We start from the raw sequence: 26,468 nt of genomic DNA, 5'->3' as shown, positions 1-26,468 counted from the left end.
GTTCGAGACCAGCCTGGCCAACGTGAAGAAACCCCATCTCTAATAAAAATACAAAAATTAGCCAGGTGCAGTGGCTCACGCCTGTGGTCCCAGCTACTCGGGAGGCTGAGGCAGGAGAATTGCTTGAACCCAGGAGGCAGAAGTTGTAGTGAGCCCAGATTGTGCCACTACACTCCAGCCTGGGCAACAGAGTAGTGAGACTCTGTCTCAAAAAAAAAAAAAAAAAGTCATTATCCTTGAACTTAGGTCTTCTTAGACGTTATAGCTAAAGCAAGGTAGAGCCATACTAGTCCTCAAAAGAATTCTTACTATTTTCTTAGTTACTTTACCTGTCAGTGTTCATGCTTCCATTCAGTAAAATGCCTACAGCTGTGCCTGGTATTGGAAATACAGAAATGGATAATATACTGTCCATGCTGTCAAATAATTTGTAGTCTGATAGGGGAGACAGAAGAGGAAAATTACAGTTCCTATGCTGAGTTCTAAGTGCTGTGCAGCACCAGGGGTGCTGTGTGCATCTGGGGCACCCTACGTTTTGGGGAAGGTGTCAGGCAAGACTTCTTGGGAAGCCTGAGGGCTAATGATATTATACAAGAATAACCTTGAATCTGCTTTCAACTCTTGGCAAACTTTGGTACTTTAGCAATTATTTGTAACAAATTATTTGGATATAGCTTACAACTGATTTTAACAGGCCGATGATGTGTTATAAGGGTTACAAGACTATAAAATGCCTTCCTATCTGGGTTCCCAGTCCCAAGCCATCCCTATTCTAGGACAACATATACGTAACTGCTAGAGTTACTCTCCCAAAAGTCCTCCAAGAAGAAGTGTCAAGTTGGAGTTATCCAAGAGAAGGGGGAGAGGGAGAAGCAAGGAGAAGAAGAAAAAGGCATACTGGGCAAAGTAATATCGTACACAAAAGGCAAGGGGTGAAAGAGGGGAATGTGTAGTGTGTAGTGTAAAGGGAGATTGGTGGAAGTGACAAGAGAAGTTCAGAGAATCAGCATGGAGGGACACGTATGCCATGGTAAGGAAGTTGGATTCAGTTCTACAAGGTAATGAGAAATCACAGAAGCAGTTTTTTTAAGAGTGACCATCTATCTATGTGTTATCACTGTCTTACCTCAGTGTTTGTCAGGTGGGGAAACTGAGGCCAGGGTGTAAGCAGAATTTTATCAAATTCCAGGTTGGAGTGGTATTTTAGGGCCAAAGCTGAGATGGAGTCAAACCATTTCATGCCTTTACTGACAAGCCACCTAGCTCTGGTCTAGGGACTGTGAAATAGTAAGCAGAGAAGGCTTAGACTTATCAGTAACAGGTTTGGGGAATCATGCATAGTCTTGTTCCCAGTGTGTATAATGATAAGACTCTGCCAGAAGTCTTCTAGCTCTAACATTCCTTTTCTCTCTTGTCTCAGTCCTGTGTATTTTCAAGCTCTCTACCCATCATTGTAAGCATTCACTGAGTGAATTATCTATATTTGTCTGTTTGTATATATGTATGTATGTTGAGAAGGTAATACTAGAAAAACCAAACTGCTAAAAAGGAATAGAGAACAGCCTAGAAAGAGGTAATATAAATAAAAAGCATTTAGGGTTCGAAACATTTCTTTTTTCTACTTTAAATGCATGGAATAGAGTTTTCTACTCTTTGTTGTTGTATCATGAGGATGATGAATTAATGTCTGCCGGCATTTTTAGCTTTTTTTTTTCAGATGAAATGTGCTTCTTCTGCTCTTATTATTCTAATAGATAAATATTACAGATGAAAAATTCCAGGAAAATAAAGAATGATGATTACATCCCTGAGCTGTCTGTATTGATGACTTGTTGCCAGTTTCTTCATACTTATCTTAAAGCCATTTAATTAAACTTTTTCTTGGAGAACTCTTTCAGTAGGTGATAGAAACTTGGATTTACATTGTCATTTATGTGAAGGGCTAATATTCTTACACTGTGGTATTTCCTGCCTTTTTTTCAGACATTTCTGCCTGTTATGGAAAAGTTTAAGTCTTGGGGCTCAGGGGTAACTTGATAAATCAAAATTCCATGTTTCAAATCTGGCTCAATATGAAGTGAGTTTTTCACCCTTCAAACCTATTTACTTCCTAGGAGCCTAGCTACTGGTTTAGCCCCATATCTTCCTAGGCTGCTTCACAATACTTTTCAGCCTTTGTTATGTAAATTCCAACTCTTAAACATAGATTCCTATATTGTTTGAACACCTCCCCTCCCATATGGTTAAGACAGATAAAGACTTTCTTTTTTTTATTTTATTTTATTATTATTATACTTTAAGTTTTAGGGTACATATGCACAATGTGCAGGTTAGTTACATATGTATACATGTGCCATGGTGGTGTGCTGTACCCATTAATCATCATTCTCAGTAAACTATCGCAAGGACAAAAAACCAAACACCGCATGTTCTCACTCATAGGTGGGAATGGAACAATGAGAACACATGGATACAGGAAGGGGAGCATCACACTCTGGGGACTGTTGTGGGGTGGGGGGAGGGGGAAGGGATAGCATTAGGAGATATACCTAATGCTAAATGACGAGTTAATGGGTGCAGATAAAGACTTTCAAGCAAGATCGCCTAGGTTTCAATCCTTGACCTGACATTTACTAGCTGTCAATCTTAGGTGTTTTTTAGCTTCTCTTTGGCTTAGTTTCCTCCTCTGAAAAATGGGGTTATTAGTAGTATCTACCTTGTCAGGTTGTAATGAGAATTAAATAACTTCACTACGTAAAGCATCTGAAAAGTGCTTATCACATAATCAATATTATTATCTGCCTGCTAATTATCTGCTGATTTTGTTATTCCTTCTATTTTGTATTTGTTATTCCCTCAATTTATAACTTTCTTTCCTAAGAGTTTTGCATGGCTGACTCTTTATCATCAGGCAGGTGTCCATTCAAATGTCATCCCCTCAGGGAGGCATTCCCTGTCCACCCAATCTAAAGTAGGTCCCTCCCTGCCAGGCTCTGTCATATCACCCTGTGATTGCCTTAATTGTTCATGTCCACCATCTGTAATTATCTAGTTTTTTATTTATGTACTATTTGAGTACTTTCACCAGAACATAAGCTCCATGGGGCCAGGGACCTTGTCTGCCTTGTTCACCACTGTACCAAATAGCATGTGGCAATGTTCAGTTGAAATGCATTGAATGAATAAACAAATACTGTGATTCCATTTTCTGAACCAAAGCCAGTGCACCTTGTCTGTCAAAGAACCTTTATTTGTGTGCTTCTAGGTGTAGAAACTACTGGATGGTATATTTTGGATTATAAAAATGGAAACTTCTTGTACATTTTTGATAGTTTAGGTGGAGACAGCACTGAGAATGTCATTAGAACTGGCTTGGAAAACCCATTCATGTGATCTCTGTAATGCCAGTGTTTCCTACAGTGGTCCTTGCAAAATGGGTACCCGATAGTGTTAGTCACTCCCTCCTCTTGTCCCTTGGGTCTCCTTGGATGGATCTGGACATCTCAAGGGGTATGACTTTGTAATTTTTATTTTGATGTCTCTAGAGCACTTAGTACAGTGATTTGTACACAGTGGGTGCTCAATAATTGTCCACCCTGTGAATGAACCTTCTCTTTTTCTTTAACATCACAACTTCATATATCAACGAGGTGTGGAAAGAAAAGAGACAACTTACGTAGGGTTGTCAAGAGTTATGACTTATATTTGAGGGTTTGAATAGCAAATACACTAAAAACAGCCAATCACCTAATAAGAGATTGTCTAACCCAGGCCCTAGATACTTCTCAAAGAGACCATTGTTTGGTGACTTCAAGGTGGGTTCCCTGTCAGACTTTCAGGTTGCCATAGAGATGACATGTTTTTCTTCCTAAATGATATTTGCTTGTAATCTCAGAACTCTGTTCAGGAAATTAGCACAGGTTATTTGGGAGTGAGAAAGGAGTGACTATGGCAGCTTCGAGCCTTGCTACCTGGTAAAGGCCTAGTTTGCTAAATGAAGTAAAAAAAAAGGGGGGGGGGAGGGATTTAAACTGCATTCTAAGGAAAAGGTTAGAGTTGTGAAGCCTTTCTTTTCCCCTACTGTGAATGAGGAGGTGATATACAAAGAAAGAAGAAAGAGTTCCAAGTCACAGGGTTCAAAATTCAGGGCTATATTATGCCTGTAATAGTTGTTGCCACAGAAAATGGGACTTGTGGAAAGAAAAAGTTATCATCAGTATCATCTAATAAAGCACTTATAGAAATGTACTGAGCACCATGGAAACATTTTGTGGTGTCTGGTAGTTATAATTTATCTTAGTATATGCTTGTTGAGGGAAGAGACCACATTTTACCATTCCCTTTGCATCCGGTGCAGCACCTTAACCTGTCTCATCTGCAAGGTCTCTTTCCTTTTCCTCCTCCCTTGTATTAATCTTTCTAAATTACTCTTCTCATAGCGTCACTTATTTTTTTTTTGAGATGGAGTCTAACTCTGTCACCCAGGCTGGAGTGCAGTGGCACAATCTCGCAATCTCAGCTCACTGCAACCTCTGCCACACGGGTTCAAGCCATTCTTGAGCCTCAGCCTCCCAAATAGCTGGGATTACAGGCACATGCCACCATGCCCAGCTAATTTTTGTATTTTTAGTAGAGACAGGGTTTCACCATGTTGGCCAGGCTGGTCTTGAACTCCTGACCTCAAGTGATCCACCTGCCTCAGCCTCCCAAAGTGCTAGGATTACAGGCGTGAGCCACAGCGCTCGGCCAGCATCACTTTCTATCAAAACATTTAATGGTGCCTCCTTGTCAGTTGAATAAAATCAAACCCTTAAGCCTAACACTAAAACCCTTTCAAGATCTATCTTTCTAGCTTACTTTCCCACTACTTCCATAATATACGCTAATCTCAGACATCCTGGAGTACTTATCTTGCATTTCCTGTATATGCCCTGTGCTCTTTTGGTTTGATCTTTCCCACCACCTCCTCCTCCACTGAATGTTTGCTTATGCTGTTCCTTCCCTCTGGAATGCCTCTCCCTCACCCTATAATCTCTAGCTAATGAAATTCTTCCCATCCTTTAAAGCTCATTTAAATGCTACCTCAGTAGGAAGTGATCTTTTGGTGTTGTGAATTCCTTTAGCCTTTTCTCCTAATCTTCTTTTCATCCTCCTGAGGCTTAATACAAAGCCTCCCATACAGGTATTCAAATATTTGAAAAAATTATAAATGAACTGTAGGTTGAGTCACATATATGCCTCCCAGAGGCAGAAATGACAGCCATCTTGCAAGGCTAGCTAAGAGGTGTTCTGTATACTGAAGCTTGTTTTCTCATTGTATTCCATGATAAAAAGAGAAGATGAATTTCAGGATTGTTTGGGCAGCAATAATCAGGGAAAGAGAAGGAAATTTACATGAGTACAACTAAGGATTTTCTGAGAAGACCTGGCTTGTCACTGCTTCTAGGAGTAGAACCCAGGCCTTAGGGGGAAAGATATGGAGACCTAGAAACACTGAGGACAGTGAACTTGTCTAGCCTTTTTTTCTTCTTATAACCACTACCCTGTATAGCTCAGCCACGCTGGCGTTGCCTTCACCATCACCTCATCAAACAGTGTCCTGTCATTCTGTTGCCAAGGAAACTATATGGTGGGATTCCACTGATGGGGGATTAATACAAGGAAAGAAAACAAATATACATTCCCTCAATTAAGACATCCCCACAAGGAAGCCCAAAGTTCTGTCAAGCCTCATAAGATGACAGGCAAAATTGCCTGCTACCTTGTCCAGAAGCAGCATGGCATACATAGCTCAATGCTAATGACAGAGGGCTGTAAGCACGTAATCCCTTAGGACCATGGCATGATGGTCCAAAGCACCTACCATAAGTGTAATTCTCATGCCTTATCTTAAAAATTCAGACCTATTTTGCAGTCTTCTCTAAAATGTAATTGTGTTTGTTGGGATATTTAAAATAATGTTTTAAGATGAAGTTGATGTTCCATAGATGTGTATAGGTTTATGCTGTAGCTTTAAAGGACTACCTGGGACACCTCTGTATATTCCAGTATTAGTCTCAGCCCTGATGTGGTGAGGATTAAATGAGATAATATTTAGCATGCAACCCAGTGCTAGAAACATAGTAAGTGCTCCATATGGGACTTGTTTGTGGTTAATTTCTCTCAGAATACAGTTTCTTTGTCCATTAAATGAGATTACAGTGATACCTTCATCAAAGATTTGTCACTAGGATTCTGTGAAATATGCATGCAAAGTACATTGACTCCTTGTTGCCTGGCAATGTAAAAGCCCACTTTTGAGGGGAGGACTTTGCTATTCACATTCCACAGAGTAAAATGTTGGGTTGTATTCACATTCAACACAGCTTTAGTGTTCATTTCTTATGCATCAGGCATGTTCTTCTCTTTTTATGTGGAGATAGAGGAAATAAAATGGAAGCAACAGCAGGTAAGCAACACTTGGGTGCACACGCACTTCACAACAGCCGCAGAAATACTTCTCCAAATGCCTGCATTCACCTGACTCCAAAGAAAAGGCCGCAGGCAGAGTATTCTGACCAAGATTCCTGTGTCCCAAAGACCTTGCCACATTGATCGGGGAAAAAGAAGTTTTGTATTAAGATGGCAATTACCCAGACAATTTGCAAAGGGTATTTTACCTGCCAGTATGTTCCCTGGCAGAAATGATCTCTGATTACAAGCCTCATGCAGTGAATATATAGATATCTTGTTTCACTATCTTGCCTCTGTGTGGGGTGTGTGTGTATGCGTGGATGTTGAAGTGTGTGTTTAATTTATGTTTCTTGCTGCTTGAAGAGATACAGCTTCGATGTTTTTTCTTTTCACATAAAATCACTATTTATCCCCAGCTGAAAATAACCTTTTTATTGTTCTTGTTTTTGTCTCCTTCTTTCTGTGCCTCTACAAGCAAAGCTTCCTGTTGAATCTTGAAACATCTGACTTTAAAATCAGGGTACAGTCTTGTGAGGGTATTTCCACGTGCAATCAGTCACAGAAGCCATGCAGCCAAGTGCCTTAGTAGATTGCAATCACAGGGTTGTATTCACTCGAGGTGTGGCTGTGAGGGTCTCCCCAGCTACCCTTCTAACATACACATAGATATACACAGGCATACACACATACACACACACACACACACACACACACACACACACAGAGAGAGAGAGTTACCTCCTTTTTTAATACTGTTTATTTGTATGTTTAAAGACTGAATTTTATAAATTAAAAATTAAATTATACACATTGCTACAATGATTTATTTTCAAATCAGAAAATGCAGACAAGTATAAAGAAGAAACAAATACCATTCCACCCCCCAACCCCAAGAAAATAGCCACTGTTAGCATTTGTAGAAGTGACTTACATTTTTCTAGGACACAAATTCATTTAATTTCACCTTAGTAATGAAAAGAAAACTGTCAATAGGGCACAATTCTTTGGACGATGACAGTAATGTGACTTGAAATGAAGCAAAGTCCAGGCGCTAGGATGTGCACCTGAGAGATGATTGGGACCCCGAGGCTAAGCTTGGCTGCAGCGGAATTCATTGTGGGGAGAACAGAGAATTAAATGCCAGAACAGAAGCTATTACAGAGGGATTGACTGTCCTTGCCCAGGCTCTATAGCGTAAGCAAAACTTTCCCTACTCCTTGCTGGCTGAAACCCTGAGTTCTGACTCTTGAGAAGGAAAGGGTTCGATTTTGACGGTCAACTACACATAATCACCTTCCCGCATTGTCCCGAAACCAGAAACGGAGTCAGTACTAAGTACCAAGGTCCTTTGAACATCATTTATTTTTCAGGAACCACTCTTTCAAAAAAAAAATCAATTACAGATGCTTTTTGGGAGAGTGGGATGTGTGGCAAAGAGACATGAAAGTCAGCGTTCCGCAAGATTTAGTTGTTACTTATGGGAAGATGAATGATTTAAATCTCTCTTGAAGCTGAACCTCCTTAAGTATCCACTTATATTGTCACTACCCATGAGCATGTCAGGGCAATATATGTATATATAGATTTACCTAGATGCCTGAATTGGTTTTTTCATTCTTTCCACCAATTCCTACAACTCTGGTTCTCAAACTGTAGCCTTAGAAGCACCTGTAGAGCTTGGAGATGGAAGGGGGTGCTACTTCCAGAGTTTCTGACTTTAGTAGGTCTGGGATGAGGACCTGAGAATCTGTATTTCCTACAAGTTTCTAGGTGATGATGATAATGCTGGTTTGAGAACCAGATTTTGAGAATCACTGCCCTACAAGAATATATAGGCATGATTTCATCTCAAAATATTTAGGGAAAAGATGAAACTGTGAATTTTCCAAAATATTATTCCTGATTTAGGCTAATTTTGGTAGAAAATTATTGAATTTAGCCACCACTACTCCATTACCCCATATATATTGCAGATTGTATTTTTCAATTTATGATAGCATTTTTGTTTTAGAGTTCCTTTTTATCTATCCTTCTGCCCTCCGATCAACAGAATTTCTCCCATCTTTGTCTTTCTGAAAAAGTATAATTTCCTAATACCTCAGTGGTATGTGGGCAGTCTTTTTTGGAGAAGATTTCTAGCTCTGCCAATTATTAGCTGTAGATCCTTCAGTAAGTTAGCTGACATTTCTGAACCCCAGTGTCCACATCTGTAAAAAGGACAAAACCAAAACAAACAGAAAAACATGTGGCTCACCTAGGGAGTGTGTGCATCAGACAAGATAAATAGTGTATAAAATGCCTAGCATAGACGAAAATAAATGTTAGGCCCCCATATCCCTTCTATTATCTGTATTTATGTTGCAGGGATTGTTACTACTATTTCTAGTGTTGATTCATCTATAATAGAATATAGTATCTATCTAATGGAGCCAAGGCAACATCTCCTGGAGATCTCAGCAAATCAAGATTTCCCTATGGTTCTAAGACATATTTTATGTCAGGGACAAGTGGGAACAGGAATAATTACAGCAAGCATTTATTGGTGCCTGCTACTATGATTGTTGAGAATGATCTCATCTAATCCTAACGACAGCCCCATACGGAAAGTATTATTATAATCATTATTTTACAGATGAGGAAATGGAGGCTCAGAAAAGTTAGGTAACTTGCCTGAGGTCCCACAGATGCTAATAAATGCAGAGCCAAGATCTAAACCAAGGGCTATCTTTTCTCCAAAGTCTGAGCCCCCTAATTATTGCACAACACTGCCTCTCCAGTTCAGTATCATAAGCTGTCCCTGTTGAGAAGGGACCTTAGACATCACAGAGTAATCCTTTCATAGTAGAGATGAAAGAACTGAGGCCTGGTGGTGGAGTGAGATACATCAGCTCACTGATGGCAAAGCCAAGAGCTAAACTTGGGTTGACTCTAACCTCTGAACTTTTTACAGCAATATAGTTTTGCTTTCGTACAAATGAAAAGTTTTCACTGTGCCGTTCAAGCATCAGACAAACAAACAATGACTCTACTGAATTAGAGGGAAAATTTAACAATCAGCTCTCTGTGGGAGGAAGGGAAAGCCCTGATTTGTAGCTTTTGCCAATTTCCATGGTATAAATACTCCCACCAAGGCTGATTTCAACTTATCCATGTCATGGCACTGGATGCTAAGTTGGGAGGAGATGCACACAATCCACTGCCTCAAGCTGGTGTGATCTGACTCTAGCATACCACTGCATCCGTCCTCATGGAGAATGACAACCAAACCCTGAGTATTGTTCCAAGCTAAGATTCTGATGGTGAAGAAAAAAATGAGTGTTTCTTATATGCCAGGATTCTGAAATTCAATAGAATTGGTATCCTCGCCAACTCTTCTTTTAGAGTTTAGGACTGGTTCTATTACTGGGATTGAGCCTTTGCCAAGGCCCTCTTGTGACTTATTTATAGAACTTTTCCCCCCCAAAGGATATATGAATATATTGTGTCATGCTCTATCTTTAGAAATGCTAATCCCTTGTCTCAATTGATATCTTTGAAATTGAGGATAAATTAAAGTACACCAAAGAAGTTGTTTGTTTTTATTTTGTTTTAATTTAAACTACCAAAAAAATAGTTTTAAAACTTATAAAATGACCCAAAGAACACATATTTATTTTAGGAAATTTAGAAAACTCATGCAAACAAAAGAAAATAGGTTTTAAAAAAATCCGTTTTTCCAAAATCCAGAGGTAAACATGGCTAACATATTGGTGTACATATTTCTAATGTTTTTTCCTTCCTATATGCAGATAGAATTTTTTTCCAAAAAAAAATAGCCCTACAATAAAGGAAATCCATTTGCAAAATGAAAAGCTATCACAGATTATTATCTTCCATGTACAGGTCCTGCCATTCTATTCATATTCACGGAAATGATATGTTAGCTATATTTATGCTGATGTTCTTCACGCATTTGAAGATAATACTGCTAATGGGGATTGTTATCTGTGAGTACAGATGGGACTAAAAAGACCAGGGTGACAGTCTCAGCCTTTTCCACTCCATAGACCACTGTACACACAAAGACTGTTTTCGAGTTACAATTGCAGCTGTGCGGATATGGTGACTGATTGGGACTCTGCCTCTGAGACCCGAGGTCATCCTAGAGCTCAGAAAACAACCCCCTCCTGCACTCCCTTATTGCTGTAGCCAGCCTGGCCTGCCTGCTGCTTGTTTCCTGCTGCCTGCAGCTCAGCCCCATTGTTTGAAGTGGGGCTTCAGAGCTGCTTTAATGGGTTTTCTTCTGCCCTCCCTGCTTGGGGTTGCCTCACTTCAGTTCACCATACAACAGTCTGATCTGGTGTCCTGGGGCCATCCATCCTTCACACATGTCCAGCCCAGTGGGGCGCTGTTAGAAATGGAATTTGTTCATTCCCTCTCCTCAGTCTTGATTTTTGTGAAACAATACCCTAGAAAAATTTACCAGTCATAATAACAATGCTAGATGACTGACTCTGGGAAATTAATGTTTCTTTCTGAAGTAGATGCTCATTAATAAGTTGGGGAATAGTGGCCAACAAGACTTACCAGAAGGTAAGGTAAAGTAACTGACCTCTCTGGAATCTTTGCTTTTGGCTGTGAGTCTCAAATGTGGATTTGACAGATCCTTTTCTGACATGTTCCTGAGTTCAATTCCCTCCTTGAAGGCCAACGTTGAAAGACAGATAATCAGCAAATGTTTGGGAAATGCAGCTCTTAATTAGGAGTTGCTTAAACGTGTGGTAAATTGTATATACAGCAGGTCCTATTCAATGCCATTTTATTAAAATGTTAATGAGGAAAAAAATTGATTCTCCCCAGGGCCACTGCCCATGTGGAAGGTGCACATCCTCCTCATGTCTGCGTGTGTTCTTTGGGTACTCCGCTTTCCTCCCACTTCCCACACTTGTGCACATGAGGTGTCTAAGTTGTCCTAGTGTAAGTGGGTGGTGTGTGAGTGCTCCCTGCGACGGGATGGCATCCTGTCCAGGGTGGTTCTCACCTTGCATGCCCCCTGTGCTGCCAGGATGGGCTTCGGCCACCCACAACCCTGAGCTGGAATTAGCGGGTTGGAAAATAACTAAATGAAGTAATACAAATTATTGGAAAATAAAAATTTGTAAAGTATATGATAACCATACAAATGCATGACAATAAACGACACTCTAGGAAAGCACTCAACAATCTGCCACATTTGTGATTCTTCTGGAACTGCTGGGTGGCAGGAGGTGCTCCTTATGATTTCGCTTTGCAAACATTTATATCTTGACCTGACCCACCATCACTACGACCGCTGTCACTCACCAATTCACCAAAAATTGGGCAAATAATTCTCTTTCTTGTTCTTATTAACTTTTCTTAAATGTATGTATAGCTCACACTTATTTAAATGTTTAATATTAGAAGTGTTTTGGGTCTTTATTTAGAAGTTTGGTGGCTTTGACCAGATGTATGCTGTAGGAACTTAACTTTTGTTACTCTTGTTTGTATCAATTAGCCTAGAGTAAAATTGGCTTCATTATACATCATTTCACTTACAGTCACACTTTCCAAGAACCTATTGATGTTAAGTGAGGACTTAATTACATATCATTGTATAAATGGGTGATATTTGGTGGGTTCATGCTGATATTTTTCGTGTAGCACATTATTTATTGGTAGACTGTCAGGCTCTCTCCAAAGAGAAGAAACCTTTTTGGTGGGAAAACAATGTAACAAAAGAGAGCCCAGGCCTCTGGACAGTTTGTGAAAGGCGGTATTTTTTTTTTCATTTCAGAGGAGTTAAGAGTACTAGTTGAGTGACCTTAAGAAAATAATTTCACCTGTCCTGTCTCAGTTTCCTTCTTAGTAAAAGGGAAATACTAATATATTCTCTATGGTGATGTTGTAAAGATTAAATGAAAAAGAGTAGCACTTGAAGCGCTTCACACACACTGCCTGGCACATAATAAATTCTATGTTCATTAAATGATGGCTATATTCTCCAAGGGGAAGGCAGTATCCACATGGCTCCAGGTGGCAAGGTAGTGTTCCCCATGCAGGGGAACCAGTTGACCCTCCAGTTAAATGTTGGTGCCACGGTGTGTGGGGGGTGCGGGGGTGTTTCTGGTTTCCCCTCTTGTGTTGCTTCAAATCCTGGTGAATCACAACATTTAGACTTGTGTTTCTCAACCTTGGCTGCACATTGCAATTATGTGGGGAGCTTTAAAAAGTATGGATGCCTGAGTCCCACCTTCAGAGAGTCTGATTTAATTTATCTGCAGTGGTACCTGGGCAAAGGGATTTTTCAAAGCTCCCCCAAGTGATTCTAATGTGCAGTCAGAGTTGAGAATCACTTGATTTTAGGCAGATGCTCCACATCTGTGACAAAGATGATGAAAATTAACATCATGCTATAGGAGGCAGCGTGCCACTACAGCCTTGATCATGGATTCCTTCCAAATCTCTTGACCCAGGGCAATAATCACCAACCCACAAAATTTGCATTAGCCCCACCTGTATTTATCAAATGTCACCATCAGCCATACTGTACCACACTCCATTAAATGCGCGTAATTTGCATAAGGGGCAGGGATAAAAAGCTCACACCTGGTTTTGTAATCAGGTTAAGAAAATGTACAGTAGTCTAAGAGTTAATCTCATTAATGCTGATCTCCTATGCTTGGGTTGTTAGCTATTACTCAGCTTTTATTAATTTAGGCTTGAACATGTATCTGCCTTGTCCACAATTCCAGATGATGCTATAACTCATGCCCTTCTGTCAGTTCCAGAAGATGACTACATGTGTTTTATTTAGATAAACTGAAATTATTTCAGCTTTCAACTGTTTTGGTAATTTTGTTTCATTTATGGATGATGAGTGGTAAGATCCACTCTTCATTTTTACATACTAAAAGTCATCTGAAAACAGATTTGTTTGGTTAATGAAGTCTTATGGGATGGGAAAGATTGAGGAGGGAACATAGTACTTGAAGTTTTAGTTAGTATGGATTAAAAACAAGTAGGGCAACTTTTGTTTGCTTGGAGGGCTCAAAACCAGGTAAATAAAACCCTACGTTGAGATTCAGTAGTTAGGAACAGGTATTCACTCTATATGTCTATGATGTGTACTAGCTTAATTTAGGTTTAGTTTAGCTTAGTTTAGACACTTAATCCATGCTGGAGACACTATTAGTAACATAGGAACATTCATCCCCCACCCATGGTTAGTATCCATCTGGGTAACAGGCCAGATGAAGTTAATTTCTATATAAAATGGAAATATAAGTCATATCCACTCAAATATTTGAATTTATATCTGGATTCTTTCCTGTAAATGTCTTGCTGCTCTTGATGGAGGAAAATGGATATGGTTTTTACATAAGGACATGATTTATGAAGCAACTCTCTGAACCCCAAAAAGCCTAGTGGCAAATAAATTTGTCAATTTGAAATCAAAGGATCTTGAATCAGAAACAAATGATTGTTGATCATAGAATATTGTTTTAATTTAAAGCATTTTTTCTCATAATCACTCATTGGAAATGAATTGTTGATACTATGGCTTTTAATATGTGACTTAAATTGCTCAAAAAAAATGAAAAGTATCTTTTTGAAACATCAGGAAAAAAAAGCCTTCTGGACAGGCCTTAGTGCTGAGTCTCAGCAAAATTCAAGTTTTATCTTAAGCACATATCTTTTATGTTCCAAAATCTTTCTGAAAACTCTGAGATTCTGCCAAGTTGGATGAAGAAAGCAGAAAGGGAGCATAGTTGGTTTTTGTTTTGTTTGTAAAGCTGTTCCCTCTTTCTTGTTTATTCTTGGTGGCCAAGAGACAGATCCTGGGTTGCTTTGTTCTTTGGCTGGGATCACTACCTTACCATATGAAGGGATTTTTAAAGCTTCGGTTTGCTTCCTTGAAGTAAAAGGCAGATGCAACTTTTGCCTTTAAGTACATTCTCAGTGGAAACTAATGTTTGGGGTGTTTCGAGGGGCTGATTTTAGACATGGAGTCCTGTCCTGGAACTTTCAATGCAGATCTGAGCCTGTGAGAAACATTACTTTTTGAAATGGAGTTGATTTTATTCTTGGGATTGACAAAATAGAAACAATACTTACTAACTACAACCAGTAAAGTGGATCTTTACAAACAGAACATTCATGGAAAAAAAAACATGCAATTTTATTTTATCCCTACCACTTGATAATAGTTAAGATTGTCTAATCAATTTCACTATTGTTGCACTTCCAGGATGCTTGATTGGGTCACCTTTCGTTAATGGCTAGTAGTGCTAACTGGCATGCAACTTAACTCCCCCCAACGCTCACCCCTCCTTTCTTCACTGCCTTTTTTTTTTTTTTTTTTGGCTTTTTGCCTTTGCAGCCAAAAATAGCTGGCAAATTATGTTCATTTTCAACCTAATTTGGAATGGAAGGGAAAAACCAAAATTTTATTGCAATATTTTTTATTGCTTCAGTTACTCTGAACATTTATTATTTACTATTATCCTTTATCTGGATAATGACTGCTTTGTTTGCCATTTCAACCAATAGTTAATTCATCAGCAAAATCAAATCTCAAACTTCACATCTCTTCCAATCCACAAATCCTGTTCATCTCTAATTCCAAACTTACATGCCTCTATGACTAGGGATATTTATTCTTGTTTAGTAATGTTTATTTTGTTATGCTTTTCCTTGAAAGAAGGACTATTTTATAAGCAGTAACTTTTCTTCTGTAATTAAACATTCCATCCAACCAAAAATAGACCTTGAGAATCTCAATCATTTTTTTACTGCCCTATATCATTGTCTATACATCTCGGATCTTGCCACAGTTCCGTCCCCCTGATTTAGATGGCATGAAGACAGAAGCCACATTTAGTGGCTTACACATAGCAGGTGTTTGTTAAATTGAATTGAGTCACTTATGGGCACCATGTCAACTCCCAGCCTTTGTACATACACACACACACACACACACACACACACACACACACACACTATATATATATATATATATATATATATATATTCCCATTAATCTTTTTCATAGCGCTCTTTTCCTTTCCTTTGTAGTATTTATTATAAATTCTAAATTTATAGATTGATAAAAACTGAACTTCATATCTACACACATTAAAAAAAGTACTGCTTAGTACCTTTCTATATGCTTGTCACTTGGAACAACTCTATGAGTCATGTAAGTTCCATGAGGCCAAGACTCATGTCCCACTTGTTTTCCACTGTATCCCCAGTAGATAATGCAGTGTCTAACACATACCAGGCACTCTCAAATACTGTTTGAATAAATGAAGAAAAATTTTTTACTTACCCTTAAACTAGCTCTATATAACTGTCTAATTCCACCATTAGAGGGCATGTAGGGTCAAAGTTTCATTCAATAAATATCCACTGGGTAGCTACCTAGACAAGCACTGTGATCGGCTCTATTGCAGGCCCAAAGAATTTAGCAAAAGATGCCTGCAATTGAAAGCCTTGTTTCTAAATAGGGATGCAAGACATACCTTGTGCAGCAAGATGTCTACCCATAATTATTCGTAGAATGTGCCATTGCTTTTCTCATTCATTGTACAGAGTGTATTTTTGGTTCAAAAGGGGTGTTAGCTTAGGAGTGTTCTCAGAGGAAGGTTACCTGGCCCTTTGGGTGTCACCTTACTTAGTTCCCCATATTTCTGGGTCTGGCCCTAAGCTTTGCCCACTTGGGAATTTAATTTTGTCAGCCCAGGGGTAGTAGGGATATATCATTTATTAGCCTACACTAGCCAAGGTCACAAGAGGTGGACACCTAGACTAGAATACAATTTATTGAATTAGCATAAGAAAAGATAATTGCTAAGCATCTGATGGTCACATGAACAAGTCTTCTGCCTGTAGGAAAATCCATGTGGGAAGCCAAAAGATAACAGAAAGGTTGCTTTATGTGTGTAGCACCATTGCAAGGGGAGTTGGTTGCATAATCTTAATATTTTGTGGCAGCCAACTCTAATGGTCTGATCCATCCGTCTTCAGGATGGGGATTTGCTAACCTCAGTTAATGGAAAATAGATTTCTTGAGCCAGAGGTTCTTCCTAGCCTTGGGAGTGCTGCTTTGCCAAGAACTTCCTTCTGAAAATCCACATTTTCAATATTTCCAACTAACCTTCTTCCTCTCAATGGACTCTCTCTTTCCTTAGATATGATAATAACATTGTTTGGGTTACTGTCTGGACTGGCTTTCAGCCTGGAACCTCTGCTGTATCTTTTAAGGTGACTTTGCACCTTTAGTCTTATCTAATGTGTTTTAATTTTATTCATCAAATTCTCAGAGTTTAGTGGGTGCATTTATCGGTCCTCTGGGAATCTTTATATAATCTAGTACAATTCTCAAATGAAAGAGGGAAATGCATTTCTGACCCAAGAGTCACTGCCATTTTTTCAGATGGAAGAAAAATTTTTCAGCGGTAGAAGTGATTAGTTTTGCCTTGGGGAGTGTATTAGTCTGTTTTCACGGTGCTGATAAAGGCATACCCAAGACTGAGTAATTTATAAAGAAAAAGAGGTTTAATGGACTCATAGTTCCATGGGGCTGGGGAACCCTCACAATCATGATGGAAGGCAAAAGGCACATCTTTCATGGTGGCAGGCAAGAGAGAATGAGAGCCAAAAGAAAGGGAAAACCCCTTATAAAACCATCATGTCTGCTGAGACTTATTCACTACCACCAGAACAGTATGGGGGAAACTGCTCCCTGTGATTCAATTATCTCCCACTGGGTCCTTCCCACAACAGGTGGGAATTATAGGAGCTACAATTCAAGATGAGATTTGGATGGGGACACAGCCAAACCATACAGGGAGTTAGGAAAGGCTTTCCAGAAGAGGTGACATTAGAGCTGAATCACAAATTAGAAGCTGTAGATGTGGAATGGAGAATATGGTAGTTTCCAAGTGGCGAGAACAACTTGTACACATGTTATTGTGTACTTGTAAGGCATTGTTGCATATTAGGATGAATAAGACACAGCCCAATGGATGTTTAGGTAGGTTCAATGACAGAAAGCTCAGATACATCCCCTGTTGCATGACTCTCATTCAGCCTTACAAACCCTAGGATACAGCAGCTATTGCCCATTCTGTCTGAAACACTGCATCCAAGCCAAGTCTTGATCCTTAAATTATTAAAATCTTTTCTAAATACACAAACACAAATATGAGAGTGCTTCCTCCATAAGCTTCTAAAGCATTTTTTCCTTTCATGGCCTTTATAAAGTATAGTTATTTGTGTAAATATATAAATTTGACCTGCCCTCCTGTCCATTCCCCCCCCCCACCCCACTAGTAGATTATAAGTTCCTGGAAGAAAAATAACTTTATTTTTTAATGAACTATTTTAGATATTTGTCATTCCTATGTATGTCTTTATATTTTTACTGCATTTTTCAGAAACATAAAAGTGTTTTACATGTTTTTAAACCTTATTTAAATGATATGAAACATCATTCTACAGCTTGCTGTTTTCATTCATTTTACTTACATCTTAATAATCAACTATATTATATTTCTATTTATTTCATTTTAACCTTTATTTATTACTTCATTATATGCCTATAATCATAATTTGGTGATCTTTTCATTTCTTCCTGAATATTTAAGTTATGTTTACATTTTTGGGGTAACAGAGACAACCATTTTGGAAAACATTTGCCAATATATAGTAAAGTTGAAAATGCACATGCTTGTCAACTAAGTAAGTCAATTTCTAGATATATACACTGGGTCTGTACTATCCAACATGGTAGCCATTAACCACATGTGACCATTTAAATTAAAACTTTAATTAATTAAAATTTAAAAATAAAATAGTATTTAAATTTCAGCTCCTCAGTAGAACTAGCCATATTTCAGGTGTCCAATAGCCATAGATGGCTAGTGGCTACTGAATTGAAGCACACAGATATAGAGCATTTCCATCATCACAGACATTCTAATGAACTCTCCAATGCTGCCCTGGAGAATAATTTTATTTGTATTTTCCCAGTACACTATGAACATAAAAAGCACTAAATAGCTATGGAGTGAATGAATGAATGTGAAAATACTGCATTACAGAGCTATATATGGTAAATGTTAACTGAGTTCCAGGAAGAAGAGCTATATGAGGTTAGAGGGGGTGATTGCGTATAAGGGTCCTGGGCATGGGCTTGGAGGAGGATCGACTAAGGTGTTTATCCAGGGCAATCAACTGCAGCATAGCAAGAGGAAGAGTTGGAAATCATTACTGCAGAGAAAATAAGATAACTAAAGAACAGAAAAGCCGTAGCAAGAATCAGATCCAAAGCAAGACTGTGAGAGGGGAAAACGAGTTATGAGGTCAGAAGCCAAAAAGATTAAACGGAGGCTAAGAGGTGGAGTGCAAGGCAGGTCAGAGAGAGCAGTTCAGGACAGATGCTGTGAATAATGTAAAGTATCTGAAGTCTGTGCTCTGGGCTTTGAGGGCTGAGTAAACTCTCAATCCTGTGATCAAAATATGTTCATTTCCTAAGTATATTGCCATCATCCACAAGACCTATCTACTACTTTGAAAGCTATGTTTAAGAGAGGGTTATCTGTAAACATGTGGAAGAATAGGATTTGACTCCCACAACATATAGCTATCAAAGTTTGGGAGGGTGAGGGTGAGGCCTGAACTGGGCTGCTAAGAACTGAATTTCTGAGGTTAATTACTCTAGGAAGAGGAAGAGAACATGGAGGGAGCAAATGTGGTATAGAAGAGTAGATCAAAAAGGAAAGGAGGATGAAAAGGGCGAAGGTCAGCCAAAAATCGAATACAATGAGAGGGGACGTTGTGCAGGTCTTAATATTGGTTTTCAGTTAATTGTAGAGTTATTTCTATAAACTTAAAAGCCAGCAGGAATGTGATGTGGGATTCAGAAGCTGTTGGTCTAATTTAGTCAAAAACTACAGAGAGCTCTAGCCCCAGGCTCTTGCCTGGCTTTCTGAGCTGCTTTGTAGCCCACTCCTGGTTTTCACAAAAGTTTCTTCAGCTCTTTCCTGCCCCACCAACCCCACTAACTTTCAGAGTCAGAGGTACTGATTAAAAGATCTGATTCCCAACATTTTTTTTGGCAGGGAGAGAGAGCAGGTGTGTGGCCACAGGGGAAGTTGGGTATGAGTGAAAAATCAGAGACAGCCATTTTAAAGTGCCTGAGTCAAGCAGGCTATCCTATGTCTCTCTCATATCTTGTAAAATTCAGCTTGACGGTAAAAATCTCATCTCTCCTGCCCACTCCCTTCACAATTTTACATACTATAGTCTAAACTAATTTAAGCTTTCAGCTGTTATTTTCAAAACTTGATAATCAGATTAGTGCCTACATTTGTTTACAAAGGTATAACCAATTCTAGGGCCAGACCAAACAAAGCTCTGTTTATGTGTTTGTTTGCAACAGTGCAATCTCATTTTTAACCATGGCTTTTGAGAATAGCAGCATATTACAGAAGGGCTAGAGACAGCTCACCCAAAGGGGCGAACAAACCATTCTACCTGACCTTAGGAAATTAATCCTTCAAGTGTCGATTGTGCATTATGAAAGCAGCCAACTGTCTGCCAGCAGTGGGTTTGCAATCCCAGAAATCTGATGCTTTTCTATACCTTCAAGCAATACTAACAGAGGTTTGGATTCCTGAGCAAGACCAGTCTGAAAGAACTATATGTGGGCATTGCTAATTCTTTACAAAGATTACAAGTCTTCATTCCCAAGACTATTCCTTGTTCTGACCTCTCTACTTTTTTCCATCTCATGTAACTTCACTCTTTCAACCTCAAATCCCTATGCCTAGGCACAAGCCAGTCTACCGAAATGTGGGCAGCTGTCTTGGCATGCATGGGCAATCAGATGTTTGAAGAAAATTGATGAATAACCATGTGTCCAAGACATCCAAAGGGCTTAGAGAATTAAAAGCCTTATTCTTATGGTTAAACACTGGGAATGCCATCTCATTCCTCCCCAGTGATTTCTCTATTATCAGCTGGAAAGCCACCAGCAGATCCCTTGTTCATTGGCCAGGATGCAAACTAACACTTCTTTCAAGTCTCACTTTTGTTCTCAGGGTTAGGAACACTGCCATTATTAAAAAAAAAATCTGGTTGGTCCAGCTAATTGGACTTCTTAGGTCATAATTACAGTATCGTGACATCAGCCTACATTTTCCTGGAATTGATTATTAAGCCTCATTATCTATATCTTTGTGTCCTGACACCACCATTTAGGACCAAATCATTGAACCTACCATACTATATACAACTAGGCTAAATGTTCCCTAAGTCCTAGGACTATGAATAAACTGTTTCCTTAGGAAGATTTGGGAAAGTAATGGATAATCATAAATACTAACATGTATTAAGTGCTTATTAACCTAGCATTAATGCTTGCATTATCTCATTGAATATTCACAACAAACCAACAAGGTTACTTACTATTATTCATATCCCCATGTTTACAGTTGAGGAAACTGAGGTTCAGAAGGGTGAGAAAACTTGCCCAAGATTACACAGCTAATAAATACTGAATTGGAATTTACTCTCATGTCTGTTTTGATTCAAAGCATATGCACTTGCTGCTTCTTGGAAGGTGTCTGTCTGCTCCTCGCTTCACGAGCAAGAACTCATCTGATTTTAATTTGTTAGAAACTGAAAATACAGTAGAATAAACAGATGTTTCCTTTCTGATGGAGTGATGGGTTATAATGTCCTGTTTTACATGTCAGCAATAGTTTTGAGGCCAATTGTGGACATTTGTAGATCTCTCATCCTAAGTATTTATTGGGCATCTATTATGTACCAACACATGGTGGGTGATTCAAATAAGTGTAAGGAATAGGAATTACCAGGAGTGAGTGTCTTACCAGAGAAATGAGGTTACCTGACAGGAACCCCCTCAGAATATATATACACATGTAAAATAATATGCCAATTCATGTGACAACTCTAAATATTGGGTGAGACACTGAGGTGTTAATAGAAAGGACACTGGTCTGAGAACCAGTGTTGTTTTAGAAACAGTTGTGTAATGTTAACTTTTAATGCTAATTTTAAAATAAAGTGGGCCTACCTCAGTCATTCTGGGTTTCTTGACTAGAGGCAGAGAAGAAATAATCAGGAAAGTCTTCATGGACGAGCTGGACTATGAAGAATGGGCAAAATTTGAATTGGTGGGAAAGGGAGAGGAGACTCCAGGTCCAAGGAGGAACAAGGAAGGAAAAGTAGGAGTTAGGGTAAAGAGAAGGGAAATGAGCCCAGAGTGTTAAATGGTTACAAAGGTATAACCAATTCTAGGGCCAGACCAAACAAAGCTCTGCTTATGTGTTTCATTGCAACAGTGCAATCTAATTTTTAACCATGAGCGGAGACATGCATACATGCTTTAAAGGAGCAAAACCCATAGTTAGGCATAAAAAAATCAGGGACCAATGGATTGATTAATCAATTGATCAATTGATTGATTTTTATTGTGGTAAAATATACATAATATAAATTTTACCATTTTAACCATTTAAACAGTACAATTCATGGCATTAAGTACACTCACAATATTGTACAACCATCATCACTATCTACTTCCAGAACTTTCTCACCACCCCAAATGGGAACCCTGTACCCATTAAGCAACTACTCCTCATTAACCTCTCTCCCCAGCCCCTGGCAACCACTAATCTTTTGTCTCTATGGATTTAGTCTTTCTGAATATTTCATATAAATGAAATAATAGAATACATGGCTTCTTTAATTTAGCATAACCTTTTCGACATTCATCTGTGTTGTAATATGTATCAGAATTTCATTTCTTTTTATGGCTGAATTGTATTGTATTTATGGCTGAATTCCATTGTATGGATATACCACATTTTGTTTATTCATTTATCTGTTGATAGACAGTTAGGTGGCTCCCACCTTTTGACTATTGTGAATAGAGCTGCTATCAACATTGGCGTAGAAGTTTTTGTTTGGACACTTGTTTTCAATTCTTTTGGGTATACACCTAGCAATGCAATTGCTGAGTCATATGGCAATTCTATGTTTAATTTACTGAGGAACTTTTAATGTAAATCTGTCATATTACTTAAAAACAAGGGCTTTCAACTTTGAGTTGAATCCTGGCTTTGTTACTTGCTAGTTGGCCGACGTTGAGCAAGTGATATAACCTGTCAGCCTCAGTTTTCCCATCTGCTGAATAGGGTTGTTTTGGGGATCACATGGCATGATGCATATAAAGTCTCAACACAGTGCCTGACACATATTAAGCATTAGATACCTGTCAGCTACTAGGAATATCCTGTAGTAGTCTTATTCAAAATGTTCTGTATAGTCAGCATCACAGACAAGTAGAGGCATGACCCTCTTATTTATTTTGCTACTTACCTCATCACCCCCACCTTGTAGAGCTCTGGAAGTAGTCGGAATTTCCAGAAAATGATCTACCCTCATTTCTTAACCCCCAAATTTTAAATTATTAGAATTGTGCATGTATGTATGTGTATATATATGTGTGTGTTTCTGTATATATTTATACACATACATATATACATACACACTTCCATGTACTGTACACACAAATTATTCTAGTGAAAACATTTCTTTAAAATCTCAAAAGCCTGTGTGTCTTTTATAAAACCGACACTTTCCAGGAAGAGGCAATGCAATTTAGTAGTTAAGAGAATATGTTTGAATCAAAATAGACATGGGAATGAATGAAAATTCAGTGTTTATTAGCTGTGTAATATTGGGAAGGTTACCTCATCCATCTGAGCCTCAGTTTCCTCATCTGTAAACCAAGAATATAAATAGTAGTACCCACCTTTGTGACTTTTTGTGAATAATAGATGGGATAAGGCAAGCATTAGTGCTAGGAACACAGCAAGCACACAATCTTCAGTCTGGTGCTACAAAGATACCCATGACTTTGACCTTCCTTGCTTTCCCACACACCACAGGCCACCAAAGTGGCCCACAGGAGTTAAAGAGCCAAAGACTTTAGCTAGGCCTGAAAGAATATCAAATGGTCATAAAGAGTTTTTCCAAATGAAATGAAATTACACCATAACAAAAGCTGTTCAAGACTCTGTAATCTCAAATGCATCCTTTGAGTATCCTGATTACGCTTAGTCTCTGTTGGTAGTTACATTTTTCTAAGAGGAATTAACTTTCCATCTGCACAGAACAGTACCATATAGTATTTGAGCTGAAAGGGAAAATGACAGTGAAAGGAGTTAATATCTGTGATACTCTGCACTCAGCTTGTCTTATTTGATCATTATAACAACTCTGTTATGAGGTAAATATCCTTATTCCCATTTTGGAACTGCAGAAACTGGGGCTCAGAAGAAACTTGCTCAGAACTAATAAGTGTCAGAAGCAAGATTTGGACCCGGATCCTTCTGAAGACTCGAATTTACTATACCACACACTTACTTTAAAGAATTTCTGAGATTTTCTTTTGCTATTGGTGAGGCAGAAACCAAGAAAGGTAAAGTGAGTTGTCCAAGGTCACTCAGCCATTTATTATAATAATAAAGCAGGACTGGAATCCAGTTCCAGGAATGCCATCTCATGTTACTTTATTGCCTCTAATGGATGAATAATGTAATAGTTCATCAGTTAAAAATGATTAAATGTTGGGAGAAAATCTGAAAATAAATTTCATCCATAACTTATTTTCATCTCATGTTTCACCGACCTTATTGAAAAACTGTTTTGTGTAGTTAGAAATGAACTAATGACCTGGTGTTCCCTGATGTCTGTGTGCCCACTGTATTCACTACTTGATGTTCAGAAGTAAATAGGCAAATGCAGGCAGTCCACAGGTTATTTCAGTTCTAGTTTATAACCACTGTGATGGGTAATTTTATGTGTCGACTTGGCTAGGCTATGATGACCAGAAGTTTGGTAAAATACTAGTCTAGGTGTTATTGTAAAGATATATTTAAGATGTGATGAACATTTAAATCAGGAGACTTCGCAGTATAATTTGAAGTCAGGCAATGTGGTAACTCCAACTTTATACCTTTTGCTTAGGATTCCTTTGGCTATTCAGGCCCTTTTATGGTTCCATATGAATTTTAGAATTGTTTTTTTCTAATTCTGTGAAAAATGACATTGATAATTTAATAGAAATTGCATTGAATTTGTAGATTGCTTTGGGCAGTATGGTCATTTTAACAAAATTGATTCTTTCAATCCATGAGCATGGGTTGTTTCTCCATTTGTTTGTGTCATCTACAATTTCTTTCACCAGTGTTTTGTAGTTCTCCTTGTAGGTATCTTTTAACTCCTTGGTTAAATGTATTCCTAGGTATTGTTTTGTAGATACTGTTAATGGGATTGGGTTCTTGACTTGGTTCTCAGCTTTATTGTTATCAGTGTACAGAAACACTACTAATTTTTTCACATTGATTTTATATTTTGCAAATTTATTGAAGTCATTTATCAAATCTAAGAGTCTTTTAGGTTTTTAGATATAAGATCATATCATCAATGAACACAGATAATTTGACTTTCTCTTTTCCAATTTGGATGCCTTTTTTTCCTTCTATTGCTTAAATGCTCTAGCTAGGACTTCCAGTACTATGTTGAATAGGAGTGGTGAAAGTGGGCAAACTTGTCTTGTTCTCATTCTTAAAGGGAATTCTTTTAACTTTTTCCTGTTCAATATGATGTTGGCTGTGGGTTTGTCAGGTATGGCTTTTATTATTTTGAGGTATGTTCCTTCTCCATCTAGTTTGTTGAGGGTTTTTCTCATGAAGGGATGCTGGATTTTATCGAATGTTTTTTCTGCATCTATTGAAATGATTATATGATTTTTGTTTTTAATTCTGTTTATGTGGTTAATCACATTTATTGATTTGCATATTGAACCATCTTTGCATACCTGGAATAAAACCCACTTGATCATGATGTAGCATAGTTCTAGTATAAAAATAGACACATAGATTAGTGGAATAGAATAGAGAACCCAGAAGGAAAGCCACATACCTACAACCAACTGATCTTTGACAAAATTGACAAGAATATTCATTGAGGAAAGTGCCCTCTATCAATAAATAAGGCTGGAAAAATTGGACAGCCATATGCAGAAGAATGAAACTGAACCCATATCTATCACCATATCCTAAAATTAACTCAAGATAGATTAAATGCAAGATCTCAAACTATAAAAATTCTAGAAAAAAAAACTAGGAAAAATACTTCTGAACATTGGCCTAGGAGAAAAATTTATTACTAATCCTCAGAAGCAAACATAACAAAAACAAAAATAGACACATGTGACTTAATGCAACTAAAAAGCTTCTGCACAGCAAAAGAAATAATTGACAGAGTAAAAAGATAACCTATGGAATGGGAGAAAATATTTGCAAACTATGCATCTAATGTCTAGAATCTACAAGGAACTAAACTAAAAAAAAAAACTAACAAATAACTCTATTAAAAATGGGCAAAGGACATGAACAAATGATTTTTTCAAAAGAAGAAATGCAGGTGGCCAACAAACATGAAAACATGCCCAACATCACTAATCACCAGAGAAATGCAAATTAAAACCACAATGACATACCTTCTTACAGCAGTCTGGCTATTATTTAAAAGGCAAGAAACAACAGATGTTGGTGAGGATGCAGAGAAAAGAGAATGCTTATATTCTGTTGGTGGGAATGTAAATTAGTACAACTGGTATGGAAAGCAGTATAGGAAGTTTCGCAAAGAAGTAAAAATAGAACTACCACTACTGTGTGTCCAGCAATCTCACTACTGGGTATCTACCAAAAGGAAAAGAAATCATTGTTTCAAAGAGACACCTGCACTCATGTATTTATCACTGCACTATTCACAATAGCAAAGTCATGGAATCAACCTAAATGTCCATCAATGGATGTTTCAATAAAAAGAATGTGATATATATCCCATGGAATGACAGCCACAAAAAAGAATGGAATCATGTTTTTTGCAGCAACATGGATGGAACT

General features: G+C 38.2%; 1 protein-coding gene across 15 annotated transcripts in view, besides 1 other annotated feature; it reads left to right on the top strand.

The window, feature by feature from the left end:
* COL4A6 (collagen type IV alpha 6 chain) overlaps positions 1-26,468 on the top strand; it is a 283,845-nt gene that overhangs the window by 80,840 nt on the left and 176,537 nt on the right. The gene's annotated exons all lie outside the window — the stretch shown is intronic.
* Positions 4,668-5,220: an enhancer, noted in NCBI's record as "NANOG-H3K27ac hESC enhancer chrX:107596629-107597181 (GRCh37/hg19 assembly coordinates)". NCBI's record gives its function as "activates a minimal SCP1, AML or CMV promoter by ChIP-STARR-seq in naive H9 embryonic stem cells {active_cell/tissue: H9 hESC(naive)}" and the evidence as "EXISTENCE:reporter gene assay evidence [ECO:0000049][PMID:30033119]".

Source organism: Homo sapiens, chromosome X (assembly GCF_000001405.40).
Source record: "Homo sapiens chromosome X, GRCh38.p14 Primary Assembly".
Taxonomy (NCBI): domain Eukaryota; kingdom Metazoa; phylum Chordata; class Mammalia; order Primates; family Hominidae; genus Homo; species Homo sapiens.
This window is presented reverse-complemented; position numbering and strand designations above follow the sequence as displayed.